Source organism: Homo sapiens, chromosome 10 (assembly GCF_000001405.40).
Source record: "Homo sapiens chromosome 10, GRCh38.p14 Primary Assembly".
In the NCBI taxonomy this organism is placed as follows: Eukaryota; Metazoa; Chordata; class Mammalia; order Primates; family Hominidae; genus Homo; species Homo sapiens.
The window spans coordinates 91,220,091-91,247,691 of record NC_000010.11 but is presented as its reverse complement, the minus strand read 5'-3'; the positions used below and the strand labels follow the sequence as shown (position 1 = coordinate 91,247,691).

Sequence of the window (27,601 nt, the reverse complement as noted above, 5' to 3'; positions counted from 1 at the left end):
TTTATCTTGACATTTTTCTCATTTTCTTTCCTGCCATATAACTCATCTTTTTCATGGCCTTTTGTCTTCAATCCCATTCTCTTGCCCCCACAACACCCCCTTCCTGCCTCATCTCCTTCATCCTGCTCAACAACATTACTCTTCTACAAGACTACAAACACATAGAGGTTTCTCACATCTTAAAAAAAACCCCAAAACCTTTCTCAACTCATTAACTCTTTTCAAACTATTATTCTGTTTCTCAATCTTTCCTTCTAACTGGAAAAAAATGTGAAAATAAAACCTACATTATTTCTGTCACATACTCTGTTTTGCTTCTTTTACTCTACTGAATTCTCAAAATCATCTATAACTTCCATATTGAATAGGTTTAAAATTTTTAGAATTAAAATTTAAACTTAAAAATTATTTTTTAAGTTTATATTTCTTCTATATTGCTCTGCAGCAGTTTGACAGTGTTGTCTAACACTGCCTGCCTCCCTGAAAATTTCCTTTGTTTTTTTTAATGTTCAAGTCTGTTCTTTCTTTATTACTAAGCATTTTTCTTTTTCCCAGCTACTTTTAAATCTGATATTCTCCCTTGCTTTGTACTCTGAACTCTTTGACCTTTTCTGTCTTCCTTGTGGATTTCATCTGCTTTTGTGGCTTCAAAACTAACATATAGGCAGATTATCTATCTATCTATCTATCTATCTATCTATCTATCTATCTATCTATCTATCTATCCATCTATCCATCTATCTATCTGCCTGACTATATATCACATCTCTGCTGATTTCAAGTTCCATATTTCCAACAGATGCTAAACATTTCAAGTACCTCCTTTTATTAATCTATGTCAAGATTGTCTCATCTATCCTCCTCCAATAAAATACTAAGTAGCCCAGTCATTGTCTCGCTTTTTTTAAACTAAATTTTTAAGTGATACCATAATTTTTCCAAATCAGCTCAAAATATGAGAATGATCTTAACTTCTCTCTTTCCCTTCATTTACACATTTACTCACCAAGCCACATTCAGAGCTCCCTCTCAATATCTGTCCCACCTATTCTCCCAACAATTCTTCCATTCCTTCAATTAATTACCATTCTGCTTTGAGCAGAGCAGAGACATGTTCATAATCAATCTTCCTAAAGTGCTAATCTGATTGTGTTAGTTCCCTGCTCAAGGACTAATTTCTCTCTACTACCTGACTTCATGTGTTTATATAACTTGAGTCCAACCTACAAACCATAACTGGTACTATTTGCTCACTGTCTCCCTTCTCTAGCCAACTGGCTTATTCAATTATCCCAAGAATTCCTTGTCTTTTCCAATTCATTTTTCTCCCTCATGTTTTACATCCTGGCTCAAATACTCTCTGTACTCTCCGACCAAACCAATGCTACCTTATTCTTCAAGACAAGGTCATTCGTAAAGTTTTCCCAGACTATTTAATAGTAGGAGTGAATAAAAAACAGCACTTCTCACTACATACAAACAGATCAGGAACCAACTTAGTTTCATTTCTGTTTCCTCTGAAACATTACTTACTACTTTGATGCCCTTTCTGTCCTTCCAGCCCAATTTAGGACTAATCTGTTCTATGGTCAGTCATTAAATCACTTCCTTACATGTACCCTTGATTTGTCTCTCTCTTACTTGCTCAAAATTATTTAGTACAACTCAGGTTAAATCCAACTTTCCATCAACTCTGCACTGGCACCCATGGCTGGATAAAAACACAACCATACTCCTTCAAATTCCTAACTACAACACAAACATGCCTTTAAGTTTGCCAGGAATCATACTACACTCACAAGTGCACTGATCCTCTCACTCCCCTGGACAACACGCTTTTTTCTCGCCCTAACTCTCCAAATCCCTTTCCTCTATCCTTAATTTTGACTGACAAACACTTTCTTCTCAATGAAAAATGTCAAAGCAATGAAAAACAAACTTCCACAGGCCCCGGCCACCATACCTACCTATAGCATCTGCACCATGTACTCGCTGTCTGCCTGCCTGTTGCTACAATTTTTTTTGTCAATGCTCCCACTGAAAACCAGTGTCTCCTCTTAGGCTGTGAGATTGCATTCCCTACTCTCCCACATGATTAACTTTCTGCTTTCTACTGGATCATTCCCTTCAAATACGCCATTATTTCTCCTATATCAAAACAAAATAAAGAACCTTCTTGGCTGCACTTGACAGCACCCCCCCACCCCATTTCTTTGCTCCCATTTGTAGCAAAACTCCTTGAAAGAGTTGTCAATACTATACTCACTGTTGCTAATTCCTCTCCCTCCTTTCCTCTCTTAAAACAACCCAGTTAGGTTTTTGGCCTCACAGCTCTAAAGAAAGTGCTCTTTTCAAAGTTGATGAACTCCATGTTGCTAAATCCAACCATGAATTCTCAGTTTTCACCTTACTTGTACCCATGAACAACAAATGACACAGGTGGATCACTCCGTCTCCTTTGATATACATACTATCTTCACTTGACTTCTAGAGCACCACACACTCCTGGATTTTCCTCTACCTCACTGGTTGTGCCTTCTCAGTTTCCTGTGCTGGCTCCTCCTCTTCTCTCTGAACACTTAATGCTGGAGTTCTCCAGGGCTCAATCCTTGGTCCTTTACTCGTGCCTCTCTGTACTCACTCCCTGAAGTGATCTCATCCTGCTTACAGTTTGAAAGACCTTCTATATGTTGAAGACTACCAAATGTTTTTCTCCAGCCCAGACCTCTCCCTTTGAGTTCTAGACACATATATCCACTTACCTTCCTCTCTTCTCTGAAATGAATAACTCAGCATGTCCACAATTGAAGTCCTGATCTACCCCTTCCTTGCTCTATTATTAATCTTCCCAACTCAGTTAATGGCAACTCCATTCTTCCAGTTGCTCAGGTCAGAAATCTTAAAGTCATGTTCAACTCTTTTCTTTATCCCATATCCTATATCCAATCCACCAGCAAACCTTGCTGGATCTACTTTCGAAATATATTCAGAATATGAGCATTTCTTGTCCCCTCTACTGCTACCACCGCTCACCAGGGTCATTGCAATTACTTTCTAACTGTTCTCCCTGCTTCTACCCTTGCCTTGTTATACGCGCGGTGTTCTCAACACAGTCATCAACATGTTCATATCGGATCAATCCTCCAACCAAAATCCTGCAGAGGCTCCCCATTTCATTCAGAGTAAAAGATAAAATGTTTACAGTGGCCTACATGGCCCTTCATAATCTGGAATCTCATGATCTCTCTGCTCTTGTTGCCCAGTATTCTGTCCCTCACTCACTGTTCCCCAGCCGCCCAGGTCTCCTTGCTGGTCGTCCAACAAGGCGTAGATACACTCCTGACTTAGGCACTCTGCACTGGCTGCTCCCTTTACCTGGAATAGGCATGCTTTCCTAGACCTATCCATGGTTAACCTCTCACAGTCTCCAAGTCTTCGCTTAAGTCTCACTTTCCCACAGAAGCCTATCATCACCATCTTATTTAAAATTGCAATCTGCCCCCACTTCACACTCTTGACCTCCTCACCTCACAACACTTTCCTCTTTCTTGCCTTTGCAATTTTCACTTTCTAACATACCATATAAATTACTTATTATATGGTTTATTGACTGTCTCTCACTACAAAAATATTAAATCTACAAGGGCAAAGATCTTTATTTTGTCTGCGAATGGACCTCAAGCACCTAGAATAGTGCCCAGACACAGCAGGCATCCAGTAAATATTTGCTGAATGAATGATTCCCCTCATGGAGCTCTCCATCTTCCTTCTATTGTCTATATAAGTGATGACCAATAGAAATATAATGTGAGTCAAATATGTAATTTTAAATTTTTAGTAGGAACATTAACACCAGTACTTTATACTTTTTATATAAAACTAACTTTAATGTTTTGCTATATATTAAAATATCTTTAATAATACATTTAGTAATTTTTATTTATTGAACAATAAAGTTATATTTAGTGGAAAAATATTTACACTGCTTCAGGTTTTAATTGAAATTAAATTAGAAATCCCATTCCTCAGTTGCACTAGCAACATCCAAAGTGCTTAAGAGCCACATGTGGCTAATTGCTACCATACTGGAGAGTACAAATACAGACTGCTTGTTCCCCAGGCCTGCTGCACAACTGTCATATCCCTTCACCTCTCTGCTATGCTAGAGTCATTTATTCTTTCTTGGTTTATGCTCCAGCACATCTCCCAATAGCTTACTGAGAAAAAGTACATAGAAGGTAAATTTTTTGCTACATGTGTCACAGGCAATTTAGGCTTCTAATGAAGGAGCCTAAATTCCCCTTATTTCTGGCTAACAAAATCCAATTATGTTCTGGCTGCAATGTGGCCACCTTCAGGGATAATTCATGATTTGTTAAAGCATTTCAAAACCCACCACATCCCTTTACCTAGTGGCTGTCATGTGACCTAGTTTTGGCTAAAAAGAAGCCTGCTGTAGGAAACTTTGGTAAAGATCTTCCCCTCCCCACAACCTCCTTAGTCTCCTGGTATACTCAGGCCTCTGAGGTCCGCTCAACTATCACCATCACCAGTTTGCTTTCTAGCTTTCAGTTTCTGCTGACATCTCTTCTGCTACCATTTCTTCTTATCCTTTAAAAAGTGTTTACTGAGAACCTATCATGAGGAGCTATCCCAGCTGTCAAAGATACAGGATATCTTGTTTTTATTATCTCTGAGTTTATGTCTTTAAAAAAATTCCTTTGTGGTAATTTCGGTGGAATTTTAGGAGGAAAAGATCTCTATAAAGGACATCATTAAATTAAGAAAACTGGAATATGGAAGTTAGGTTAAAGTATTATACCAATGCAATCATACTGTGGTTATGTAATATAATATCCTTATTCTTAGGAAATATACACTAAAGCATTTAAGAGTAAGGGGCCATGACACATGTAACTTACCCTCAAATAGTTCAGAAAAAAATAAAGCATCCAATACACATATGCACATGATAAAGCAAACGAGATAAAACGTTACTAAGAAGCTAATCTGGGTGAACAGAATGCAAGTGGCTCTTGTACTACTTTTATTTGGGGGATTCTAAGTTTGAAGTTATTTCCAAATAAAAAGTTAAAAAATATATGATGTTATACTTTAGCCAAGGGAGCGGGTTTGATTAAACAGTGACTGGATTCCTTCAGGTATCTAATGGTCAGAATCAAAAGATTAAGATAAATTGCCTTATGATGTGGCCCTTTAAGAACAGAGAGGGTAATAATTATTAACTGTCTGTTTTTATTAACAGTTTTTTATTTTAATAAAAATAAGTTATTATAGATTTTAACAGTTGGTAATAATCTTTCATTACAACTGGATATTAACAGTTTTTTATTTTAAAATTAAGAAAAGAATTACTTGAGAGAAAATGTTTGCTTTATTCAGTTTCCTTACTGCAGTACTACTGACATTTGAGGCTGGATAAATTTTGCTGTGTGGGGCCTATCCTGTGCATTGTAGGATGCTTAGTAGCATCCCTGTCCCCTGCCTACTAGATGCCAGGAGCACCCACCCAGATCTGACAACCAAAAATGTCTCCAGATATTGCTAAATGTATCCCGGGGGCAAAATCACTCCTGGTTGAGAGGCACTGATATAGATCTAACCAGAACAAGGCTTACTCAGAATTACAGACCAGAGTTGACCAGTGGTTCCCAAATGTTAGCATATATTAGCATCACCTAGAGAGCTTGCTAAACGAAGTGATCTCCAATCCCAAAGTTTCTGAGTTAGCAGGTCTGATGTGTGGTCTGAGACCTGTCACTTCTAACATGATACTAATGGTTTGGGAACCACACTTTGAAAACCACAGGGCTAGACATTTACCTGTAGACAAATTATCCCAAACAGGCATTAAACTTGAAAAACAAAAGGCTGAAATGTAAGATTTGCAAATCCAGATTTATAGAATGATGGCAAATATCACACAGATAAGAGAGTTATGAAAGGTTCCAGAGACTATCTAGCTCTATCTTTAGATGAGTAGCTTCTTTTTTTTTTTTTTAAGTTCAAAAGTACTAAAAAGCTAACTCCGGAATTGACCCCTTTTGTGCTTTTCACTGGATTCTAGACGAGTAGTTTCTTAAAGATCACACAGGTGATCTGCCTTAGAGCTATGGTGGGAACAATGAAATGAAAATGGGTCTAGTGGTGAGGACATACGGCCTGTAGCTGGGAAGTGGCATTTGAGGTATTCTGTGAAACCTTAAGTCAAGTCATATCACTTCTCTAGATTTCCTAATTGGGAATAAAGGGATTTGGATTAGAATCTCATAGACCACTTCCAGTTTTAAAAATATATGATTAGGCCAGGTGTGGTGGCTCACACCTTTATCCCAGCACTTTGGGAGGCCGAGGCAGGCAGATCACCTGAGGTCGGGAGTTTGAGACCAGCCTGACCAACATGGAGAAACCCTGTCTCTACTAAAAATACAAAATTAATGTGGTGGCGCATGCCTGTAATCCCAGCTACTCAGGAGGCTGAGGCAGGAGAATCACCTGAACCTGGGAGGTGGAGGTTGCGGTGAGCTGAGATCGCACCATTGCACTCCAGCCTGGGCAACAAGAGTAAAACTCCACCTCAAAATAAATAAATAAATAAATAAATAAAATATATATTATATATATATATGATTATACTGCTAAAGTTGAGGGGTAAGTAAATGGTAGTCTTAAAAAAATCTTTTAGGTTTTACATAAATGTTTATATACTTTTTGAATATATGGTAAATTAAAAAATTAACAGTCCTAATATTAGTCTTTCTATGAGTTCTCCCTCTTTCTACTACCATGTAGCTCAACATAACATGGACTATTAAAATACTGAAAATACCTGTAACCTAAAGTCACTCTTACAGCCTAAGAGAAAGTTGTACTTTTAGTTTGGAAATGTATTTCTTAAATATTTAAGATGTAAAACCTTATTTTTAATACTCCTTAATAAAATACTTTAAAATAAAATGCTTTAAAATGAAAATCATAAGTCCTATATTAACTGAGTCAAGACAACATGAAATATTATGACATACAATAAAAATTAAGAGCCTATTCAATTTATGTAAATTAGATGAACTGTAAAATATAACATCCTTACCTCAACATTTCTAATGGATTTGTCTCATGAACTTGGTTGCCACACCTTGGGCAATCATTGCTATCTTCAAAGTGCTGAACAATACAAGTCTTACAGACTAAGAAGAAAGAAGATGTTAGGTTAAAACGCATCATATGAACGCTCATTTAATGTTAAACTAAGTGTAATTAGAAACAGACCTTAAAACTACCTACTACAAGTAGAATATCATTATTTAATTAAGCTTCAAAAACCTTACAATTGTAACACTGTAATAACACCCAACTGCAATAAAAGTCTACTGCCACAAACAAAAAGCATAAATTATTTTGCTTATTGTTTTCTTAAATGCATTCACACACCAAATACTACTCTACTCATCATCATATTAAACTAAAAAAGCTGGTGTATTTACATAAAATAGGTTCTTCTCATTTAAAGAAGTAGGACAGAAAAAGATAAAAACTAAGTCTGCATTTATTTCCTTTGCTAAACATTTATTTAAATGCAACATAAATAACTCAATACAACTTGAGAGTTTTCAACCTGTTTGCATTACTTTTATTGGCAGGGTGCTCCAGGGACAAACTGGGAGTCACAATGGACTTTGCTGGCCTTGGCAGGGTGTAATGAGTTTCTGCTCATAGGTACTATAATTCCATGGAGCACGAAGTATGAATAATGGTATCAAGTTGGGACAAAGGCATGAGAGGTAAATTGGAAGAATGACTGAAAAACTGACAGGGATAAATAAAATTTCAAATAAAGATTCTAAACAAAGACAATGGAAATATGACTTGTGGATTTGGGGCCACAAGCCTATACAGCCCACATTTCCTACAAACACTACTAATCTCTCTGGCTATAAATCTCTCTCATCTTTCACCTAAGCTTCTACTACATACTATGCCAATGTTTTGCCCCAAAACCTTAGACAATATTTACAGTACCTGAACTATAAAATATTAATTCAATTCCTCATCCTAATACTCCTCCTCCATTCTATTACCCCGTATAACCTGAAATTTTCACATGGTATAGATTGGCTCTCCTACTCCCCTTTCACAGCTGCATTTCAAGCTACTTCTTTCTCCTCAAGATCAACACTATCTAAAAGTTTACTTAAATGATTGGTCAAAACTAAACACTAGGATTCTTACAAATGAGATTAGGTTTGAAAATGTGACATATCACATATACTGACCAAAGCAACAATGGTCATGGAAGAACTCTACCAGGTATCTAATTTTAAAATCATTTAGTACATACAGAGATTAGCAGCATTTCCTCTTGTTTGTTTATTCATTGATTCAATAGGAATTTACTGAATGCTAGACATTATATTAGGAGTTGGGGATGCAGGGGCCAACAAAACAAAGCCCAAATTCTTATGGAGCTTATACTTTATTTAGGAAGGCAAACAAACAATTTTAGTTAGTGATAAGTGGTATTTTTACCTGCCTCCCCCTCCGCCCCCCAAAAATAAGATAGAGACAGGGTGCTGGGAGCCGGCAGCTATTTTAAATAAAGTGATCAGGATAGGACCCCTTAGCGACCCCTAAGTTGGTGACATTTGAGCAGTTTTGTTGGATGAATGTACCTGAATCCCATACTCTCTCTTTTCACCATTACACACAGCTATTAGGATAACACTGCCTTCATGACAATTCTCACAAAATGTGGGTAAAAGACAGTATCAGAAAACCTTAAAAAAAGAAAAAGCTTAGATATAAAAGCTTGGCCTAGAGCTATTATGTACAATTGAATACTTTGCCTTCTTCCCAAATTTCTTGTCCCCAAAAGGGTTTCTAAATGTCTTCTCAAGTCAAAATAATCTTTGGGAAGAGAGGACTGCCTTATTATGCCAAGTTGAAGTAGAAGACAGAGAAGCTGAATTCCTTCAGAACATTGCTGGTATTTGCTCTTTTCCCAGGGATGATAGATAAGTCTCTGAAATTTGGGAAAGAGGCAAAAAAAAAAAAAAAAAAAAAAAAAAAAAAGAAAGAAAGAAAGAAAGAAATGAGAGTGGAGGGATTTTAAAAGCCTGATCCTGACATGGAGCTCTGATCTTTGTAGTTCAAAAGGTTTATTGTACTCAACGGGTTGGCAATCCTTGGTTGTCTACCAGGCTTGACCAAATAGAGAGGTATGTGACATGCCCAGAACAAGTCCTCACCTGGATCAGCCAAAAGGCTAAGGGTAGGACCCTATCTTCCCAGAAGCTATACTAAGCTAGGCTGCTCATGAAAGAGTTGTAGGGCTCAAGCATCCAAAGGTGCATACATTAAAGAGTAAAGTTATGCTAATTGCTTAAAGTCAAAGCAGCACCAGTACCCAAGAACAGTGATGGGGAATACTAATCTATATTCTAGATCTGGACTGCCAATAGAGAAGTCACTAGCCACATGTGGCTACTAAGCATTTGAAATGTGGCTAGTTTAAGTTCAGATGTAATGTAAGTATAAAATACACACTAGACTTCAGACATAACCTGAACAGGTAATCTCAATAATTTTATATTAATTACATTTTGAAATGAAAATATTTTAGAGATATTGGGTTAAATGTATTATTAAAATTAATTTTACTTGTTTCTTTTTTAGTGTGGCTACTAGAAAATTTTAAATTATACACATGGCTCACATTTTATCTCTACCAAAGGGTGCTATTCTAGATGGAGACAGAATCCCTCCTATCAAGAGGTGAGTTTATTTTCACACCAACAACTGAGATGCAGTATCTTATTCCACTTTTGCTGGTAAAAAAGAGGTTTCAATAGGCCCAGTCACCTGCCTATTCTGGTGAATGGCAGCAAAAAGACATAAATTCAGGTTTTCTGATGCAATTTTTTTTTTTTTTAGATGGATTCTCACTCTGTCGCCTAGGCTAGAGTGCAGTGGCGCGATCTCGGCTCACTGCAACCTCTGCCTCCCAGGTTCAAGTGATTCTCCTGCCTCAGCCTCCCTAGTAGCTGGGATTACAGGTGCCCATCACCATGCCTGGCTAATTATTTGTATTTTTAGTAGAGACGGGGTTTCGCCATGTTAGCCAGGCTGGTCTCCAACTCCTGGCCTCAAGTAATCTGCCCACTTCGGCCTCCCAAAGTGCTGGAATTACAGGCGTGAGCCACTGCGCCCAGCGTTGATGTGAATTTTTGAAAGCATTTTTTCAGAGACTAATACCAAAAACTGTCTTTCCTGACAATTTTTTTTCAGATAGTTTTAGTAAAAGACAACTTTAAGATGCTGAACAATGTAATATTCTGACTTGCTTTGTTTTTCGTTTGGATGATATACTGTTATTATCATAGTTAACACTTAATGGGTTTACGTACCAGGCATTATCTTAAATATGCACATGTATCCAACATACTATGTCCATGTATGTCCTAATCAACATATATTTAATTCAATACAATTTAATAATCTAATCTTTACTACATTCCTATTAATTAGATAGCATTTGGCCTCTTATAGATAAAAAAATGAGTAGAGAATTTGAGCAAGTTGTCTAAAATTATGAAGCTAGTTAGTGGTTAAAACCAATATTTGAATCCATTTTGTTAACCAATGTATGTGTGATACATTTTCTTCACACTTTATTTACATAGATCTACGATATATAGAAAAAGAATGTCTTACTCCTTATTTTAGGAGCCTTAAATATGTCTACTTGTACAATTAGATCTCCTTTTAAACTGTATAGAGCCCTTTTCAGTAGCTTATTTGTTCCTTTAAAAAAATCTCTAGAAGATACATCTCCCACATGGCTTTTAAAAACTGTTAAAGCACAACCTTACATAAATTAGAACCTGAGGAAATCCAGGCTTGAAGCTCGGTGAAACTGGAAAAAGTAAAATGAGGATTTGGTTTCCCATAGATGCTTAAAAAACTTCTCATCACTACAAAACTCACTTCTAATTCTTAGTTTATAATTTGAAGTCCATACTAGCAGTACAGCACATTTTAAAAATATCTTAAAGATTTCATGCCAAACTCTCTAACTGCTCAACTGCTGTAGTGGTTAACCCAATTGGTCCAAGAATGATGTTAAAAAGGTCCTAGTCTAAGGTTAAGACTATGTATACAGACCAAGTAGAGTCTTCATTCTCAACAGCTACTCCACACAGATTCTATAGCCATAAGAAGCACCTGGGTCAGAAAGGGAGTTAGGCTCACCAAAGATGTCCTCAGGTGGGAAAACACTTAAGTAACAACTTAGCTAATATTTAATGAGCACTAACCAAATATCAGGCTTGGCCTCAGGACTCTGTATGGATTATAGTATGGACAGTTACTATCCTCCCTGGGCAAGTGAGGAATGTAGTGCTGGAGAGCCTGACTAGGCTGCTCACAGCTGCACAGCTGTGCAGCAAAGATGGTATCCATCCCTGGGCTGCGCAGCTCCAGGCCTAAAATCCAAACCACTATGCAATGCATCTCAGAATTAGTAACATTTGGTCCCTGGCATCAAAATCAAAAATTCATATCATATTTTTTTAATTTATTATTATTTCTTTGTTTAAGACAGGGTCTTACTCTGGTCATCCAGGCTGGAGGGCAGTGGCATGATCATGGTTCACTGCAACCTCAAACTCCTGGGCTCAAGTGATCCTCCTGCCTCAGCCTCCTGAGTAGTTTGGACTACAGGCATGGGCCACTGTATTAGTCTGTTTTCACGCTGCTGATAAAGACATACCTGAGACTGTGCAATTCACAAAAGAAAGAGGTTTATTGGACTTACAGTTCCAAATGGCTGGGGAGGCCTCACAATCAAGGTAGAAGGCAAGGAGGAGCAAGTCACATCTTACGTGAATGACAGCAGGCAAAAAGAGAGTTTGTGCAAGGGAACTCCTCTTTTTAAAACCACCAGATCTCGTGAGACTTATTCACTATTGAGAAAACAGCGTGAGAAAGACCCGCCCCCATGATTCAATTACCTCCCACTGGGTTCCTCCCACAACACATGGAAATTGTGGGAGTTACAATTCAATTTGAGATTTGGGTGGGGACACAGCCAAACCATATCGGCCACCATGCCCGGCTAATTTTTAAAATTTTTGTAGAGACAGGATCTTCCCATATTGCCCAGGCTGGTCTCAAACTCCCACATTAAAGCGATCCTCCTGCCTCAGCCTCTCAAAGTACTGGGATTAACCAGCACACCTGGCCCTTTATACTTACCTCATCACAAACATCATTAAACTTTTGCCTAATGTTTACTAAGTGAATTCCCTACTTTTACCATTTGTTAGATTTGAACCAGGTTGTTGGACAAATTAATAGAAAAATGGCCACTGCATCATCTAAAGCAGTGGTTCTAAAATTTAAATGGGCATCATGATCACTAATTAGAATTTTTAAAGAATTGACTCACAGGCTCCATCCCAGACCAATTAATTCAGAATATCTAGGAGATTCGCACCAGGACTATAACTCTACAAAACCCTCTCACTGATGCAGCCAAAAGATGACTCGGAAACATTGGCCAAGGGAGAGTAGGAGGTAGTCACAAAAATCTTACTGACTAGTACCATCGTTAGGGTGCCCATTCCAGGATTTGGCTCTCTGCTAAACCATCATCAGAAGTCACTTTATTATCACCATTAAGAAACCATTATGACAGGACAAAAAATAATTAAAGAATTTGTGATCAATGTACTCTCCCTATAATGCAGATATACATGAAAAACCAAGGTAGTATAGCATAGTTGTTCCAGATAATGTTGAGGCAGACTGCCTAGATCTGAATCCCAGTACTGCCATTAGGCAAACTACTTTGTGTTTCTGTGTACAAGGAAGATAACAAAGGTACCTATCTCACAGGGTTCTTGTGAGGCTTAAAGGAGATAATATATGTAAAGTTTACTGGTTTACAGTGTCTGGTAACTTGTAAGTATTCAATAAATGTGAGCTTTACCATAAATTAGATCACTGGATGAGCATAAAATGATAAGGAGAATCAGCATCACAATACTGAATAATATCAGACTATGATTAGTTTGATGCACTAATCATAAATAACAGATATCATGCCGATGGAACTTGAAATGTGTATCATTCACTGGTATTAATTCCCTGCCGCCATTTCTACCCTAGCCATTTCTACCCTAGTGATAGTCTTGCAACTCAAGTATGAAATTTAAGACACATTTCTTCACCTGAATAGGAAGAGCCTATCTTTGAATGCAGTACACTTCTTTTACTGGGGTAGGGTGAGGTGTGTGTCCAAGATTGACCAATGCTTTTCTATTATGCATTCTTTCCTTCACTTTATGTTTAATTTATGTTAAAAATAAACATATGTTTACATTCCAGTACAGTCCCACTGGTCTAGAAGCTATTTTGTTTTGCCGCTTCCCAATTCCTTTGCATATACCCTCTCTGATGCACTATTACATGTTGATTTCATAGTTGAACTATTATAGAGCTATCCTATTTCCTATTTTCAAGTTCTTGAGGGTGTCTACACAAAAGGTACAAGGTCATTTGTTGTTGCTATCTTAGATGTATGTGTGGTCCACCCAGGTCTCTTATGTATCACAGAGAGTGAGCTTCCCAGCTTTGATGTCAAAATATACAAATTTCTGCTCTTGAGTGCTAATTCTGCTATCACTGATGATAAAACAATAATAATCTTTTCTCTCATGTCTTTAAGTGTCTTCATTGATTAGTAATGCTCTGTTTATTAAAACTGACCAAAGGCTGACTTCCTTTGTTAAAATCTTTTAGGTGTGTTGGTTTTATCTGTCAACTTAGATGCATATTTTTTCTTCCTTCCTTAAGCAGTTCACAATCTTCATACACATTTCTTGATAATGCTCATTTTATATACATTTTTGTCTTGAAAACTCTTATCTGCTAACAGTTTATAAGTAAACTGTGGTCATGTTCAAAGAGAAGAGGCATCAGTTTCCTGCTTTTGATACCTATTCTTACACGTGAAACTAACACTAATTTAAAAAATCCAGAATAGCTGTAATTCGCTTCCATGCATCTTCTTGTTTTATTTGTATAATGAACTAATTATTCTCTTATGTATGTATATGTGTATATATATTACATAATGTGCCGTATATTGGCACGTTTCTTTCTTTCAAAGGCCTACACGAGTTGCAATTTCACAGAGAACCCTAAGGACAGCATTTTCTTCTACCGAGTACAACACTTTATTTTTTTTTATTTTTATTTTTTGCTAAGACAAAGCAACAGGCAGCGAAGCACACCTTGCTTGAACAGGGTTAGGAAAGAGTCTGGGGGTTTAAGCATGGTCTGGGGATCTTAGACTGAGCAAGCCAGCAGACCTTGAAAGGTCTAGGAAGGCAGAAAAGGTTACCCTACTTCTGTAGGCTGGCTTGTAGAGTCGAGTGGGACCCCTAGGTCATAGAGGCTGGTAGCTCAGTGGTAAGACTGGGATGGCCCCATTCCCCGTCTTACCAATATAAATTCCATGATCAATCAAAATAATCAATTCCTCACACATACCCTTGATAGTGTCACTCTTTTGTACTTCGACTCCCCTTCCCCTCTCTTCTTTGGTCATACTTGCTCAACTAAACTCTAATCCTGGCTAACTCTATCTAACTCTCTATGTACTCTGCCTCTACAAGATTACAGTGGAACTTTGTGGAAGAAAAACATGCAACCATGCTGACTGGTCTCTCACCTTAAATTCATGACCATGAACCTCAAGTGAATCCTTCATCTGCCAGGCTGTCATACTCAATGCCCCAAGTCCATTACGCTTCTTGCTAGTATTTCACACCTTCTCCTCTCTCTTCAAACCCCCAACATATCCTCCTCCATCCTCACTCTCCACTGAGGACCTCTATTTTACTGAAAACAAAAGGCAATAAAATAACTGAAACAAAGAGAACTTTTACCACCACACCTATTCACCTACTAGCATCTATACTTTGTGTTCTTGCCTATTTCCAGAACTTCATGTACCTATCTAAAGCCATCCTCTGCCCTATATGCCAGATCCTGTCACCATGACCTAAGAACACTGATCAAGTAATTGTCCCTTTTCACTTACATCTTTTGCCATCTACTGAAGATTCTTAATGACATTTAAACATATTTCCCCAGCTCAAAAAGAACCCCCTAAAACCACTTCTGTTGACCCTACTTCCCTTATTAGCTATTTATTTGCTTTCTTTTGCAGTAAAACTCCTTGACATAGTGGCACTTATTCTCTTTAACTCCTCTCTTCCCATTCTTTTTTCACCTTTTCTTTACTTTATTAAGATTAAATACTTATGTATTCATAGTACAATATTCAAAACCAGAAAATAAAAAAATTTCCAACTGCTGACATTATCCAGACTTTTGCTCCTACCACTTCATTGAAACTGCTCTTGAAAAGACCACCATGACCTATGCATTGCTAAATCTAGGAATCTATTCTCAACCCCATCTTACTCAACCCACTTAACACAGTTGATCCCACCTCCTCAACACTATGTGTTTACTTTGCCTTCCAGGACCTACTATTCCCATTGTCCTCCTATCTCACTGATTTCTCCTTTTAGTGGTACCTCAGGGCTCAGTCCTTGGTCCTCCCTTCAAACTTTCATTGTTTAAATAATGATGCATATGCTGATCATTCCAGGAGTCATAAGTCCAACTCCCAAATGGACATCTCCATTTGAATATGTTATAACTTACATTCCGTTTTCTTTTCATGACCCACATACAATTCATTAGCAAATATGAATTTACCTTCAAAACCTATCAAGATTCTGATCACTTTTTACCACCACCTTGATGCAAGCCATTACCATCTCCTGCCTGGATTACTGCAATGGCCTTCTAACAGGTCTGCTTTCGACATAGTAGTCTGAGTGATTCCTTTAAACATAAATCAGATCATATAATTCTTCTACTCAAAACCCTGCCTGAAACGGATCTTCATTTCTCTCAGAGTAAAAGCAAAATCCTTAAGATGGCTCTACAAGAACTGCGCCACGTGCCTGCGGCCATGCCCAACCCCATCACCTCTAACACTCCTTCACTCACTGCTGTCCAGCCACATGGGCCTCAGGTCATTTCTCAACAACTCAGTCACACTCCTGCTTTAGAGTCTTTAATCTTGCCATTCCCTCTACCTGAAACACCTCTCCCCTCAGATATCTGGCTAACTCCTTTACCTGGTCTTTGTTCAAAAGTCACTCTTAATGAGGCCTATCCTCAACACAAGTTTACTTAAAATTGTAACACCTCACTGGCCAATTTCCTTTACTCAGCTTGACTTTCCCCTTTTCTACAGTATTTATCACCTAATATAATACACACTATCATTTGTTTATTGCCTACTAGGTTGTTTGATGAGTCTCAAGTGCCCAGAATTGTATCTGGAAGACAAAGTGCTTAGTAATGATTTATAATATAAATGAGAACACAATGGTTAGGAATACTAAAGGGAACCAAAATTGTAGACCCTACACATGTTACTATTGCAGTCAAGTGGGAAAGAAGCTTACATTTTCAACTAAAGCAAGGGAGACGACTGAGTTTACTAGTAATTTTTTTGACAATTAAAGTAAGTTAGGCCAGGCACTGGTGGCTCATGCCTGTAATTCCAGCACTATGGGAGGCTGAGGTGGGAGGATTGCTTGAGTCCAGGAGTTCAAGAGCAGCCTGGGCAACATGGTAAGATCCCGTCTCTAAAATAAATAGGCTGGGCACAGTGGCTGACACCTATAATCCCAGCACTTTGGGAGGTCAAGGCAGATTGATCACTTGAGCCCAGGAGTTCAAGACCAGGCTGGGCAACATGGCCAAACCCCGTCTCTACACAAAATACAAAAAAAACTAGCTGGGCATGGTGGTGCACACCTGTAACACAGCTACTCAGAAAGCTGAGATAGGAAGATCGCTTGAGACTGTGGGGGATGGAAGTGGGGTAGGGAGGTTGCAGTGAGCCGAGATCTTGCCACTGCACTCCAGCCTGGGCGACAGAGTGAGACCCTGTCTCTAAATAAATAAATGTTAGTTCAATATAAACTAAAATATAACATTGATCATTTGCTATTAATTGAATGTCAGTGGTTCTGACATTATATATTCATATATGTATATATGAATACATATATATTCTGAGAAAATATAGCTTTGCGCCCTGGCTTTAAATTTTTGACATAATACTGGTAAAAATCAGTACATATAAAACACCAGAAGTCTTCAGAGTACCCAAATGAAAATTATCTTTTGTCTTTTTTACAAAGTTAGACTAATTGTTTATAATGCTTATATTGAACCCTTGTGCTAGACTCTTAAACATACCTGTATACTGATCATGATTTCTAACCATGAATATTTTTGTAGTTTAGGTTACACACTTTTTCTCAACCCAACCCTGATATCAGTTCCAACTCATTCTGACCAAGATATATTCTCATAAGTCAATATAGAAGATTTCACTCTTTTACGTCTGTTGTCCTTTGGTTGTGTGCTTTAGTGTCCACTATGACGTTTTGCTCAACTATTTAAACATTCCTTGCTATCTAATACATAGTTTCAAAAGCTAAACGAACTATACACATAACTTTAACATTATTACTAATAATAGATGACACCAAGATTAAGACCTATAATTATTCTTTCTTATTTAAAAAAAGTCATCAAAATGAACATTATAATCATTTTCATGAATGAATGACTAGTTTCTGCCAAAATACTGTTTGAAATATGTAACATCAGTATACCAATGACATCATTTCTAGTATATCTTAAAACATTATATTTGCACCTACTGAGATGATAAATATAATTTCTATTTTGGCCTTTTTTATTCCAAAACATGTTTTTTATTCTTATTAAGAATACATTATGGTAAAGTTCAATTTATATCTTTTTTTCATTAAAATGGCTATTCATTCAGAATCATAAATTCAGATCAGTATTGGGTACACAACAGTTACATAGTCATGAAAACAGGTTTATTTTATAAATATTAGCTATAATTTTAATTAACATGTTGCTTAAAAATTTTTAGAAAATAAAGCAGAAAAAAGAAAAATAAAATTAGGAAAATGTCATAACATATATTATGTAGATGTACCTGAGTCACATATCCAGGATTCAGAACTCAGCTCTAGCACTTACTGGCTGTTACTTAACCTCTCTCAGTCTTACCTCTGGAATAAGAATCTGAAATACTCTTCCCTTAAACCTTTTCATAGATTGATCCTTCCTATTATTTTAGTCCCTGCTCAGATGGCCACTTCCAAGAAAGACCTTTCTGTTTTTAACTCATAGCATTTGTCATGTATAGCACCTGAAATTCCACTTTACTTACTTATTGTCTGTCTGTCCTATTAGAATGTTAAGTTCTAGGAGGGCACAGACTATGCCTGTTCTATTTATTGCTGTGTTGCAGTGGCTAGAATGATGACTGGCACATGTAAAAGTTAATGAACATCTGTTGATGCTTAAATAATACCACCTAACTAGAAGGGTTCTTGGTTGGGTAAAATAAAACAATGAATGTAAAGCTCATGATGCCTCATATAACAAACATTCAATAAAACAATAGCTAATATTTCATTCCTTTATTAGCATTTATTTTAACAATTCTATGATTAAAAATACAAACTGCCTACTTTAAAGGATGCTAGTATTATAAATGTCTGATCCAAAGCAGTGCTTCTTAAACTTTAGTGTACCAGAGAATCACCTGCAGGGCTTGTTATTACAGATTTCTGGCCTTCTCTCCAGAGATTCTGATTCAGTAAGTCTACAGTGAAGCCCCAAAATGTGCACTTCTATCTAATAAGTTCCCAGGTGATGTTGCTGATGGTGGATGCAGCTAATTCAGAGGTTTCACTTTGAGTAGCATGTGTATGTAGTGTAAGATTTTCAAATATTGAATATCAAAGCATCATGAGTTTTCTGTACCTTAAGTACTTGTATATTTATGATATTTGTTCAAAAACAATAAATGGTTGGTAATACTTAAATTCTATCATCTTAGGGTTAAGTTATTCCTTCTTACATATTACCACATAAAATCGCCGAGTCTCTTATCACGTCAACTATATTATCAATTAATCCTTCTTTGTAGAAGTTAAAAAATTAGTATAACAATGTGTTTTTGCAAATAATTTATTCTTAGGTTAGGGATTACTGCCATAATCTCTGAAGAGCAGAAAGAGGAAAGAAAGCTTTCCTTTTCTGTACCACAGAATTCTATGTCTATAAACATCCTTTTTTTTTCTGAGGAAAGAATCACTAGATTCTTAGAGGGGCCTCTGACCACAAAAGGGTTAAGAACCAATACACTGTATTGGTCACATTTGAGCTGCTGGAACATAGCCCCTTTGTCCTTAGTTTAAGTAAAAAGTCTTTTGTTTTAAATCAACAACCTATACCACCCAGCAGATACATTCTAAGCAGCTTTAAAGTTTCTCTTTTCACCAGGGTCACCTGGTGAAAGAGACAGAACATCCCTTAATCTAGGGCCATCAATTTCTAGTCCCCAGTCCAGAGTCTCTCCCTCTCCCTAAGACCCCAAAGATGCCTATGTAGATCCTAGGAGACAGTTTTCCTAAATTTGTAATTCCTAACCAACAATGCCTACATGTTTCAAGTTACCTATCACTGCATTTGAATCTTTGAAAGGAAAAATACACAATAAAATAACTTATTAGCCATGCATTTATTCATTTAAGATTTTATTGAGACACTTAACCCAAATCTGCAGGTGGTAGGGCACATCTTAGAGGGGATGAGTTTTAAAGGATGGGTAACTGCTAGCTGGGCACAGAGGAGGCATTCATTTCAAGGAGAGCAAACAGTTGAACCAAGTATTTGTATGTGTGAGTGTTAGGTGGTAGGGGAGGAAGTGGTAGGCAGAAACCAGTCACCACTAAGTAGCTTTAATGTATCCTGAGGTCAACGGGATACCTTTAGGAAATTTTAGGGTGGGTTAAGAGTGATAATGATAAAGACAGTAAGCTGTTTTTAATTATTACCACTTGGACACAGTTAAGAATGTGCTGCAGTGGCTTTGGTGAGATGTAATAAGAATCTGAATGAGAACAGTAACAGAGGGATGAAACTAAAGGGACAGATTTGAGAAGTATTAAAGAGAGAGACCAGCAGGACTTTGCCCAGTTTTGTTAGTGAGGGTAAAGAGTCAAGCATGGAGCATATTTCTTGCTTGGATAACTGAGTGCTGGCATCCCATTTGATCATTCGTAGATATGCTGAGTTTCAGGTGGCTTCAGGACATCCAAGTGGACATCCAGTAGGATTCTGCAGCTAAGAAGAAAAGCGTAAGCCAAAAATAAAGATTTGAGAGGCCTCAGCACAGGTAGCTGAAGTCTCAGAATACATGAGTTCACACAGGAAAAAAAAAAGAACATACATCTAAATACATGTGTTAGAAATTTCTTCTTGGCATATAAGTTTGCTCAATAGTGTATACATTTCACATTTATCTTATTTACCACTCTACCCCCAGTGGCTAGCAAAGTGCCTGATATGTAATTACTTAGTTTAAATAATAAAATAATTATTTGTGCAGACATGTTTATTTCCTTTGGTTTGTTAGGCTATTAAAATTATCTCACAGCCATGTAAACCATGGTTAATGCGGATTTAGTTCATCTAGTATTAAGTGATCATTTAAAGCTAAAACTCATTTGTGTTTGAAAATTTTAACTCATTTAAAAATTTTATCTATTTATCAAATGTCCCTGGCCTACTGAAGGGAAGAGGTATTAGTAGGTAAGAAGAGTCTAAATATGTGGTTTTTATGATGCTGATTTGATCATGTCATCAAATGTGATCATGTGATATGATGATGTGATTTTTTGCATCTCCTGCCAGGACCCTGGGCTGCCCCACCATCTCTACCTCCTATTTCCTTTTGATGAGCTCACCTTTTGGGCCCTTCTTTCTATATCTACCTACTTCTACAGGGCAGCCCAGCAGTGCTGGATCCAGAATTTCTCTCTGAGAGAATGGGGAAGCACCAACCTATCTGGTTTGAGGTGAGAAAGAGTTGAAATGCACTTGCATAGTCATCTGAAAGAAGACTGAAGTAACTTCATTTACCCATATCAAAGCAGAGAGAGCTACTAATAATCCCTGCCTCCCACCCATAAGTAGTCCTCTGCACCACTACTCAAGGGCTACTATCTGCCTGAGATGGCATATGGTCTGTAGCTTCAGGAATTTCACAAAACACGAGTTTCTTCTGCATATCATTCTGCTCCAGTATCCTGATACACATCTGCTATTATATCATAGTCTGTCCTTCCTCATTGCACTTAACAGCATTTTTTTTTTTTTTTTTTTTTTTTTACATTTCTTAACTTGATTACTCTTTCTTCACTTGACCAGAGAGTCCAGAAGGGCAGGTTCTATGTCTGGTTTTGCACACCAATTATAAAGCTTCATTTATGCATTTCAAACTTGAATAGTAAGACGAAAATCTTTATATTTTCTTATGAGTCTCCATAAAACCTAGCGTTTACTCATTCTTAACTCATTCTTTGTAGCATCATAACATTGTAGACTTTGTATAAAATAAGTAAGATACTCTTTGTATATGCCTAAGTCAAGATCTAAAATATTATATGGTACTACAATGTCACTTAACATTTCTCACTTTCTGCCTTTCCATTTGGTTATTTAATTTTATAACCATCCCAAATCACAGAACAACTGTATCTATCCTACATTATATATAAGAAAACCTTGTAGAAGAGTTGAAACCCAGGATATCACCACATATCAAAGACCCAACCAAAGGCTGAGGAATACTGCTTTGCAGTACAATTTATGTTATCAATATTTGTTTGTATTTATATTGAGGCTTAGAGGCAAAAACTATCCCACTTGCAAAGTATTCTTTTATTTGTATAAATATATATTTGTATTTATTTGTATATAAATATTTCTAACAAGGGAATACCTTGCAAGTGGGATAGTTTTCACCTATAAGCTTCAATATAAATACAAACAAACAATACAGAAATCAAAGGACCTGAGAGCACATAAAGATTAGTGCTACCGGAATCCTCAGATCTCCTCAGAGATGCGATGGAGTACCTGACTCCATCATTTACTCTACTTTCTGTGTTCTCTGTTGACGATAAAGGCCACATTTGGGACTTACCATTGTATTTAAATCACATTTCTACAATGTTCATTCTCTCTCAGTAAAAGGGCTTGATGGCCACCAAGGGATCTTTCAGGCTAGGATGACATGTGCAGTTAAACTGTCATTTAATTTACCCCTTTAGGCTTTAAATTGCTGTTGAGAACATACATATATGTTATATATATATGTTATATATATGTTATATATGATATATATCGTATATACATATATACGATATATATCATATATACATATATGATATATATCAAATATATGATATATATAAAAATATATATATCCCTTTGCTTATAAGCTAATTGTTTATACTTCTATAATCTTTTGTTTTCCTTTTTTTAAAAGTTACATTTAAATTGGGATTTCACTATGACCCAAAGAAAATTTTCTTCCAAAGGACATATATAAAATTTGTAGCATATAGATAGAAATGCGAGAGTTTGTGCCTTCTTCTCATCATCCAGAGTTGACAGTTTTTGCTGGATGAATCCAAAAATTAAAAACAATGAACAAATGTTCAAAGAAGCAAAACAAAACACACTGTGGACTGGGTCCAGGTTCCATGCTTGGTGAAACGGGAAACGGAAGTAGAATATAACTCTAGGGTAGCCAATTGGTTCTTCCTTCAAAGTATGTCCACAATACAACCACCCTTCTCCACCTCCATTTCATATCTTATAGCCTTGGTTGGAGGCCCTATAATCTTTTAGCTTTCCTACAGTAATAGGCTTCTAACTGATTTGCTATTCCTTAAACTGGCCAAGTGTATTTCCATCTCAAGGCCTCTGTACTTAATTTTCCCTTTATACAGACTGCTTTCCCATATATCCACAGAGTCCTTCAGTCCCTTCAGGTTTCTGTTCAAATGTCATCATATCAAAGAGGCTGACCCACTATAAATTACCTCCATGTCTCCTATCTACAATTGTGCTTTGTTCTTTTTCATACTACTTATCACTAATATGGCATTTTTAAAATTAGTTTTCCTACTAGAATTATACTTCTTGAGCAGAGACTTCTTTATTATCTTGTGCCCTTCTTTATTATCTCATGCCCCAGCACAGTGCCTGACACACAAAGTACTCAATAAATGTCTGTTCGATGATAGTTAATTAACTGTTCAAGTTAAATAACAATACAGGGCAACAGCAAACTAGTAATACAAGATAGTACATAGTTAATTGCTAATTGAATAAGATGTGCCAGTAATACCCCAAAGGAGTATACATCAGCATCACTTGGGGAGCTCTTCCAAAATATGCATGCCCAGGCCTTACCACAAGACCCACTTTATCTCCCCAGGCAGGGTCCTGAGCATGCGTATGCTTAAATAGCTTCCCAGATGATTCTATTTTTTATTGTGGTAAAATAAATGTAACATAAATGTAACATAAAATTTGCCATTTCAACCATTTCCAGATTATTCCATCTAGCATTCATTTAAAACTACTGGTATAACATTAAGTCAGTTCAGCAGAGCAAGAATAGCTGAAAAACGAGGCTTACTAACAAAAATAAAAATTAAAAAAAAAGTACCATGGTATATTAAAGAGCATGGGTTTTGGAGTTGAATATAGGTCCACCACTCATTAGCTATGAGACTAGACAAGTTACTTATCCATTAGTTTCCACATCCATAAAATGAAGATAAATCTCTATACCTTCTCTCTCCCCCTACATCTACTCCAAAATGCTCCCAGGTCATTGTAAAGCTAAGATGAAATCACATATATCTCATTTTGGTGCACATACTAGGCATTAAACTATAACTTACTGGAATTACTTTCACTGAAATAAAAAATGAAATCATGCTGGCAGAAACACAAAGAGTATGTGTAATCTTGGCATAAGTGGCAGTAAAAAATGCCTCTTCCTCTTCCAATGGGACAGTTGAGAATGAAATCTGCTAGGAGCTCCACAGGTATACTACTACTAGAACAGTGATTCTCAAACTTAAGCATGCTTCAGAATCACCTGGAGGGCTTGTTAAAACAGATTGCTGGGCCCACTCTCAGAGTCTCCGGCTCATTAAATCTAGGGTAGGGCCTGATAATCTGCATTTCTAACAAGTTCCTAGAACTTGCAATGACACTGGTGCTGCTAGTCTAGGAATCACACTTTGAGAACCAGCGAATTAAGAGTCTGCATATCCTAAAAGAATCTCTGAGATTAATTCCTTGAGTATAAATTTTTAAAATAAAAAAACCTGAAATAGTTCACTTAAAAAAACCATAACTGATAATATGCTTATGATTTTTAGAATATTTTACAATGTGATAAGAGTCAACTACTGAGATTCAAATAAAAGCAAAATTTCATGCCACTGGCAACCCAATGACAAATATTCTGAAAATTCAAAGTTAAAATAATTATTAGAATACTCATTTCTTAAAAGTTACAACATAGATAAAAACAAAACATGGCAATTTTAAAAGAACAAAATGTACATATAAACTTTGATAGGTATAATAACCTAAAAGAATACTTACATGTATGGAGGCATTCCGTCACTGTTGTTGGCTTGATCAGATACCCTTTACAGATATAGCAGGTAATGTAAGGATTAAAATCTTTCACCAAGTGTTTCCTTTGGGTAGCCATTCGTGGCTAGTGAAGACTGGCTTTAGTAGTCTGGGCAAAGAGGGGTCCTAAGTAGATGAAAGTCTGATCCCAGGAGCTGGTGTGTCGTTCCCAGTAGGATGTCCTGAGGCATGAGAACTAGCATCCAGATTTATCATGAGATCGTTGATCATCACTCCTTTTGGTGGTTCCGCTTTCCCATGTCTGTTTCCAAAATCATTTCAAAAAGATGAGAGAAAAAAGCGTCAAATTCCTCATAATGTATTAATGTCATTCTATTAACAGCAAGTGTTACATGTTCCCAATTGGGTGAATAGGTGAATAGAACATATCCTTCATTGTATCATTAACTTGCAAATCTGCTATAATTCAGAATAATGACAAATTCATCCAGTCCTGGAACCTCAACTACCACCTCTATACTAATGACACCCAAAGCTATTAACTACAGTTTGATATCTTTACCTCTTCACTAATGCATTTTAACTATCTGCTTGACTGCTCTATTAGGAGTCCCTGCCAATACAAGTTAAAAGATTAAAAACTTAAGTAATTATCCTCCCTATCAAAATGTTCCCCATTTCCATTTTTAACCCTTCATCCAGTTACGAGTCAAACCAAGTTGATATCCTCTGCTATTCCATGCCCGGCTGCTCTACTTGTATATCACCTCTCCACCTGCAGTCCATCTTATATTCTGCTACGAGGCACATTTTATTTTGTGACACTTGGTTGGGTCTTCTTATCAACGAATGTCAGTGTCTTCTCTTTACAAACAGAAAAATGTTTCCCATTCTGTCACATAAGACCTTCTACAGGTTAACCTTAATATACCCTTCAACAACTTTCTTCAACCTGAAGGGATCACTCCTCTCCCACCGTCTCCTCTGCAGGTTCTAAGCACTCTATCCAACACGCCCTTTCTCTCCTCTGTCTGCATGCCACCTATCCTTCAAGCCCTTCTCCAATGCTATTCTCAGTGCAATCTTTCCCTAGTTTTTAATGCTTACTTCTTTCCTATTACATTTGCCTTTTATTTTGATTTATAGTTACGTTCATTCTTTACCTTCTTTGTTAGACCAAAAACTCTTCAATAGAAACTGGTCATATTTAGTAGATATATAACCTGGATAATGCTACTTTCCTGTCTCAGGTTTTTTTTTTTTTTTAACTGTAAAATATGTATCCTCTCAGAAAACACAACATGAAAGGTGTTGATTTTCCTAAGTGCATTCTATAAACAGGAACTTTCCCCCATCTTAGCTGTTAACTCATTGGTAAATATAAAGCAACCGGAAAGGTAAAAGGCATTCCATCAACACATACCCACTGCGAATGTGCAGGGAATAGGCTCTACGTGTAATCATCCTATCCTCTTGGGAAACCGTATTCGTGCGTGTAACAGAAAGCAAGCATAATTAAAAGACAGGGAATCAGGGTTCTGGCCCTTACCCCTGTATGACCTTCAGCAAACCGTTTCATATCTGAGCCTGGGTCTCGGCTTCCTCCTCTATAAGTTGGGATTAACTGCCTTGCCTTTCCCACAGGTTTGCCATGAAACTCCAAAGTAAGAGAAAGTCCTCTGGAAGAGGAAATGCACGGTCCCGACCTGGGGTGGTACTAAGATCCTAAGGCACAGAGCCCTGTGACCAAGACAGTTAAGGGAAGCAAGAACTTGCAATGACGGGGCGGGGGCAAGGGGGAACTTTTCTGCGTTCTCCGGCAGGACCCAGCGGTACAGCCCTGTGGGGTCCCAGCACAGCCGCGCCCGCCCGGCAGGTGCGCGGGCCCAGGCCCCGCGGGCGCGCTGCTCAGGCCGGGGAGAGCGAGCAGCCTTTCCCGGGGCCGGCGTCCGCAGCCGGCCGCTCTCCCCGCCGAGGTAGGCACAGCTCCGAAGCCCCCGCCCGGGTCGGTAGCCCCCTGCACCCGAAGGGCCCTCCCGGCTCCAGGCTGGGCCGGCCAGGGCAGGTGTCTGGAGGTGTCGCTCTCGCCTGAGGCGCAAACTTGGGTGAGGAGTCTGGCGTCCCTGCAGCTCCCCAGCCCGCCCGGTACCTACCCAGCGGCCGCCACCGCCGCCGCTCCTCGCCCGCCAGCGCGCCGGCCTCAGAGTGAAGGAAAGTGAAACAGAAACAGCACCCGCCGCGGCCTGGCCGGTCCCCGCGCCCCGTCTGCTCTCCCCCTGCAGGCGGGAGCGCGCCGGCTCTGTGGGGCCACTCGGCTCAGGCCCGACAGGGCGCGGCGGGCCTCGGGGCCCAGGTCCGGTGCCGCCTCCAAGGGCAACTCCACCCACTTCCAACCGGCGGCACCGCCCGCCCCGCCGCCCGGCCACGCCCCCGCCGCCCGGCCACGCCCACCACCACGCCCGGAGGCCGCGCCTGCCGCCTGCGCTGCTCGCAGGTGCAGCTGCCGCCCTGGCTCCCTGTGCTACACGTAGCTCTGGCCAAATATTATCTCGGTTCTTCTTATCCTCACCGTCCACCCCTTCGGTTGTTTACATCATAACAATGACTGGCATATTTTCCCTGGAGGGTTTAAAAGCAACGGTCAGTGATGAGACTGACGCACCCTGAGAATTTGTCTCTTCAGCTGCGTCTTCCCCAAGTCTGTCCCACCTGCGCCGAAGTGGGGACAAAGCCATCCCTTGATTTGCACCTTATCTGAAAATGACTGACAAACTTGTTACTGTAGTGTGGGTCCAGAGATCATGGTCGTTGACAACTATAAGCAAACGGGAACGTTGTGGAGGTTGAGGGTGGGGGGAGGGTGAGTGGTAAAGAAGCATTACTGTTTGCAACGTTCAAA

General features: G+C 38.3%; 1 protein-coding gene across 18 annotated transcripts in view, besides 4 other annotated features; it reads right to left on the bottom strand.

The window, feature by feature from the left end:
* PCGF5 (polycomb group ring finger 5) overlaps positions 1-27,601 on the bottom strand; it is a 128,119-nt gene that overhangs the window by 36,646 nt on the left and 63,872 nt on the right. For 4 of the 18 annotated variants that reach the window (XM_017016776.3, XM_017016777.3, NM_001257101.2 and 1 more), the window contains exons 2-3: positions 24,709-25,003; positions 7,112-7,208 (exon numbers count right to left, since the gene is read on the bottom strand). In XM_017016776.3, the coding sequence (XP_016872265.1) occupies positions 7,112-7,208; positions 24,709-24,820 (209 nt within the window). In that variant the 5' untranslated portion in view covers positions 24,821-25,003. Of the gene's footprint in view, positions 1-7,111; positions 7,209-19,731; positions 20,356-24,708; positions 25,004-26,125; positions 27,030-27,364; positions 27,542-27,601 lie in introns of those variants that run through there. The other 14 variants (NM_001256549.2, XM_047425845.1, XM_011540271.4 and 11 more) reach the window with 9 other exon arrangements.
* Positions 26,390-26,849: a silencer, noted in NCBI's record as "silent region_2606". NCBI's record gives its function as "represses an Ori minimal core promoter by ATAC-STARR-seq in GM12878 lymphoblastoid cells {active_cell/tissue: GM12878}" and the evidence as "EXISTENCE:reporter gene assay evidence [ECO:0000049][PMID:35858748]".
* Positions 26,406-26,700: a silencer, noted in NCBI's record as "tiled region #216; K562 Repressive non-DNase unmatched - State 1:Tss". NCBI's record gives its function as "represses a minimal TATA promoter and a strong SV40 promoter by Sharpr-MPRA in K562 cells {active_cell/tissue: K562}" and the evidence as "EXISTENCE:reporter gene assay evidence [ECO:0000049][PMID:27701403]".
* Positions 26,920-27,229: a silencer, noted in NCBI's record as "silent region_2605". NCBI's record gives its function as "represses an Ori minimal core promoter by ATAC-STARR-seq in GM12878 lymphoblastoid cells {active_cell/tissue: GM12878}" and the evidence as "EXISTENCE:reporter gene assay evidence [ECO:0000049][PMID:35858748]".
* Positions 27,420-27,489: an enhancer, noted in NCBI's record as "active region_3762". NCBI's record gives its function as "activates an Ori minimal core promoter by ATAC-STARR-seq in GM12878 lymphoblastoid cells {active_cell/tissue: GM12878}" and the evidence as "EXISTENCE:reporter gene assay evidence [ECO:0000049][PMID:35858748]".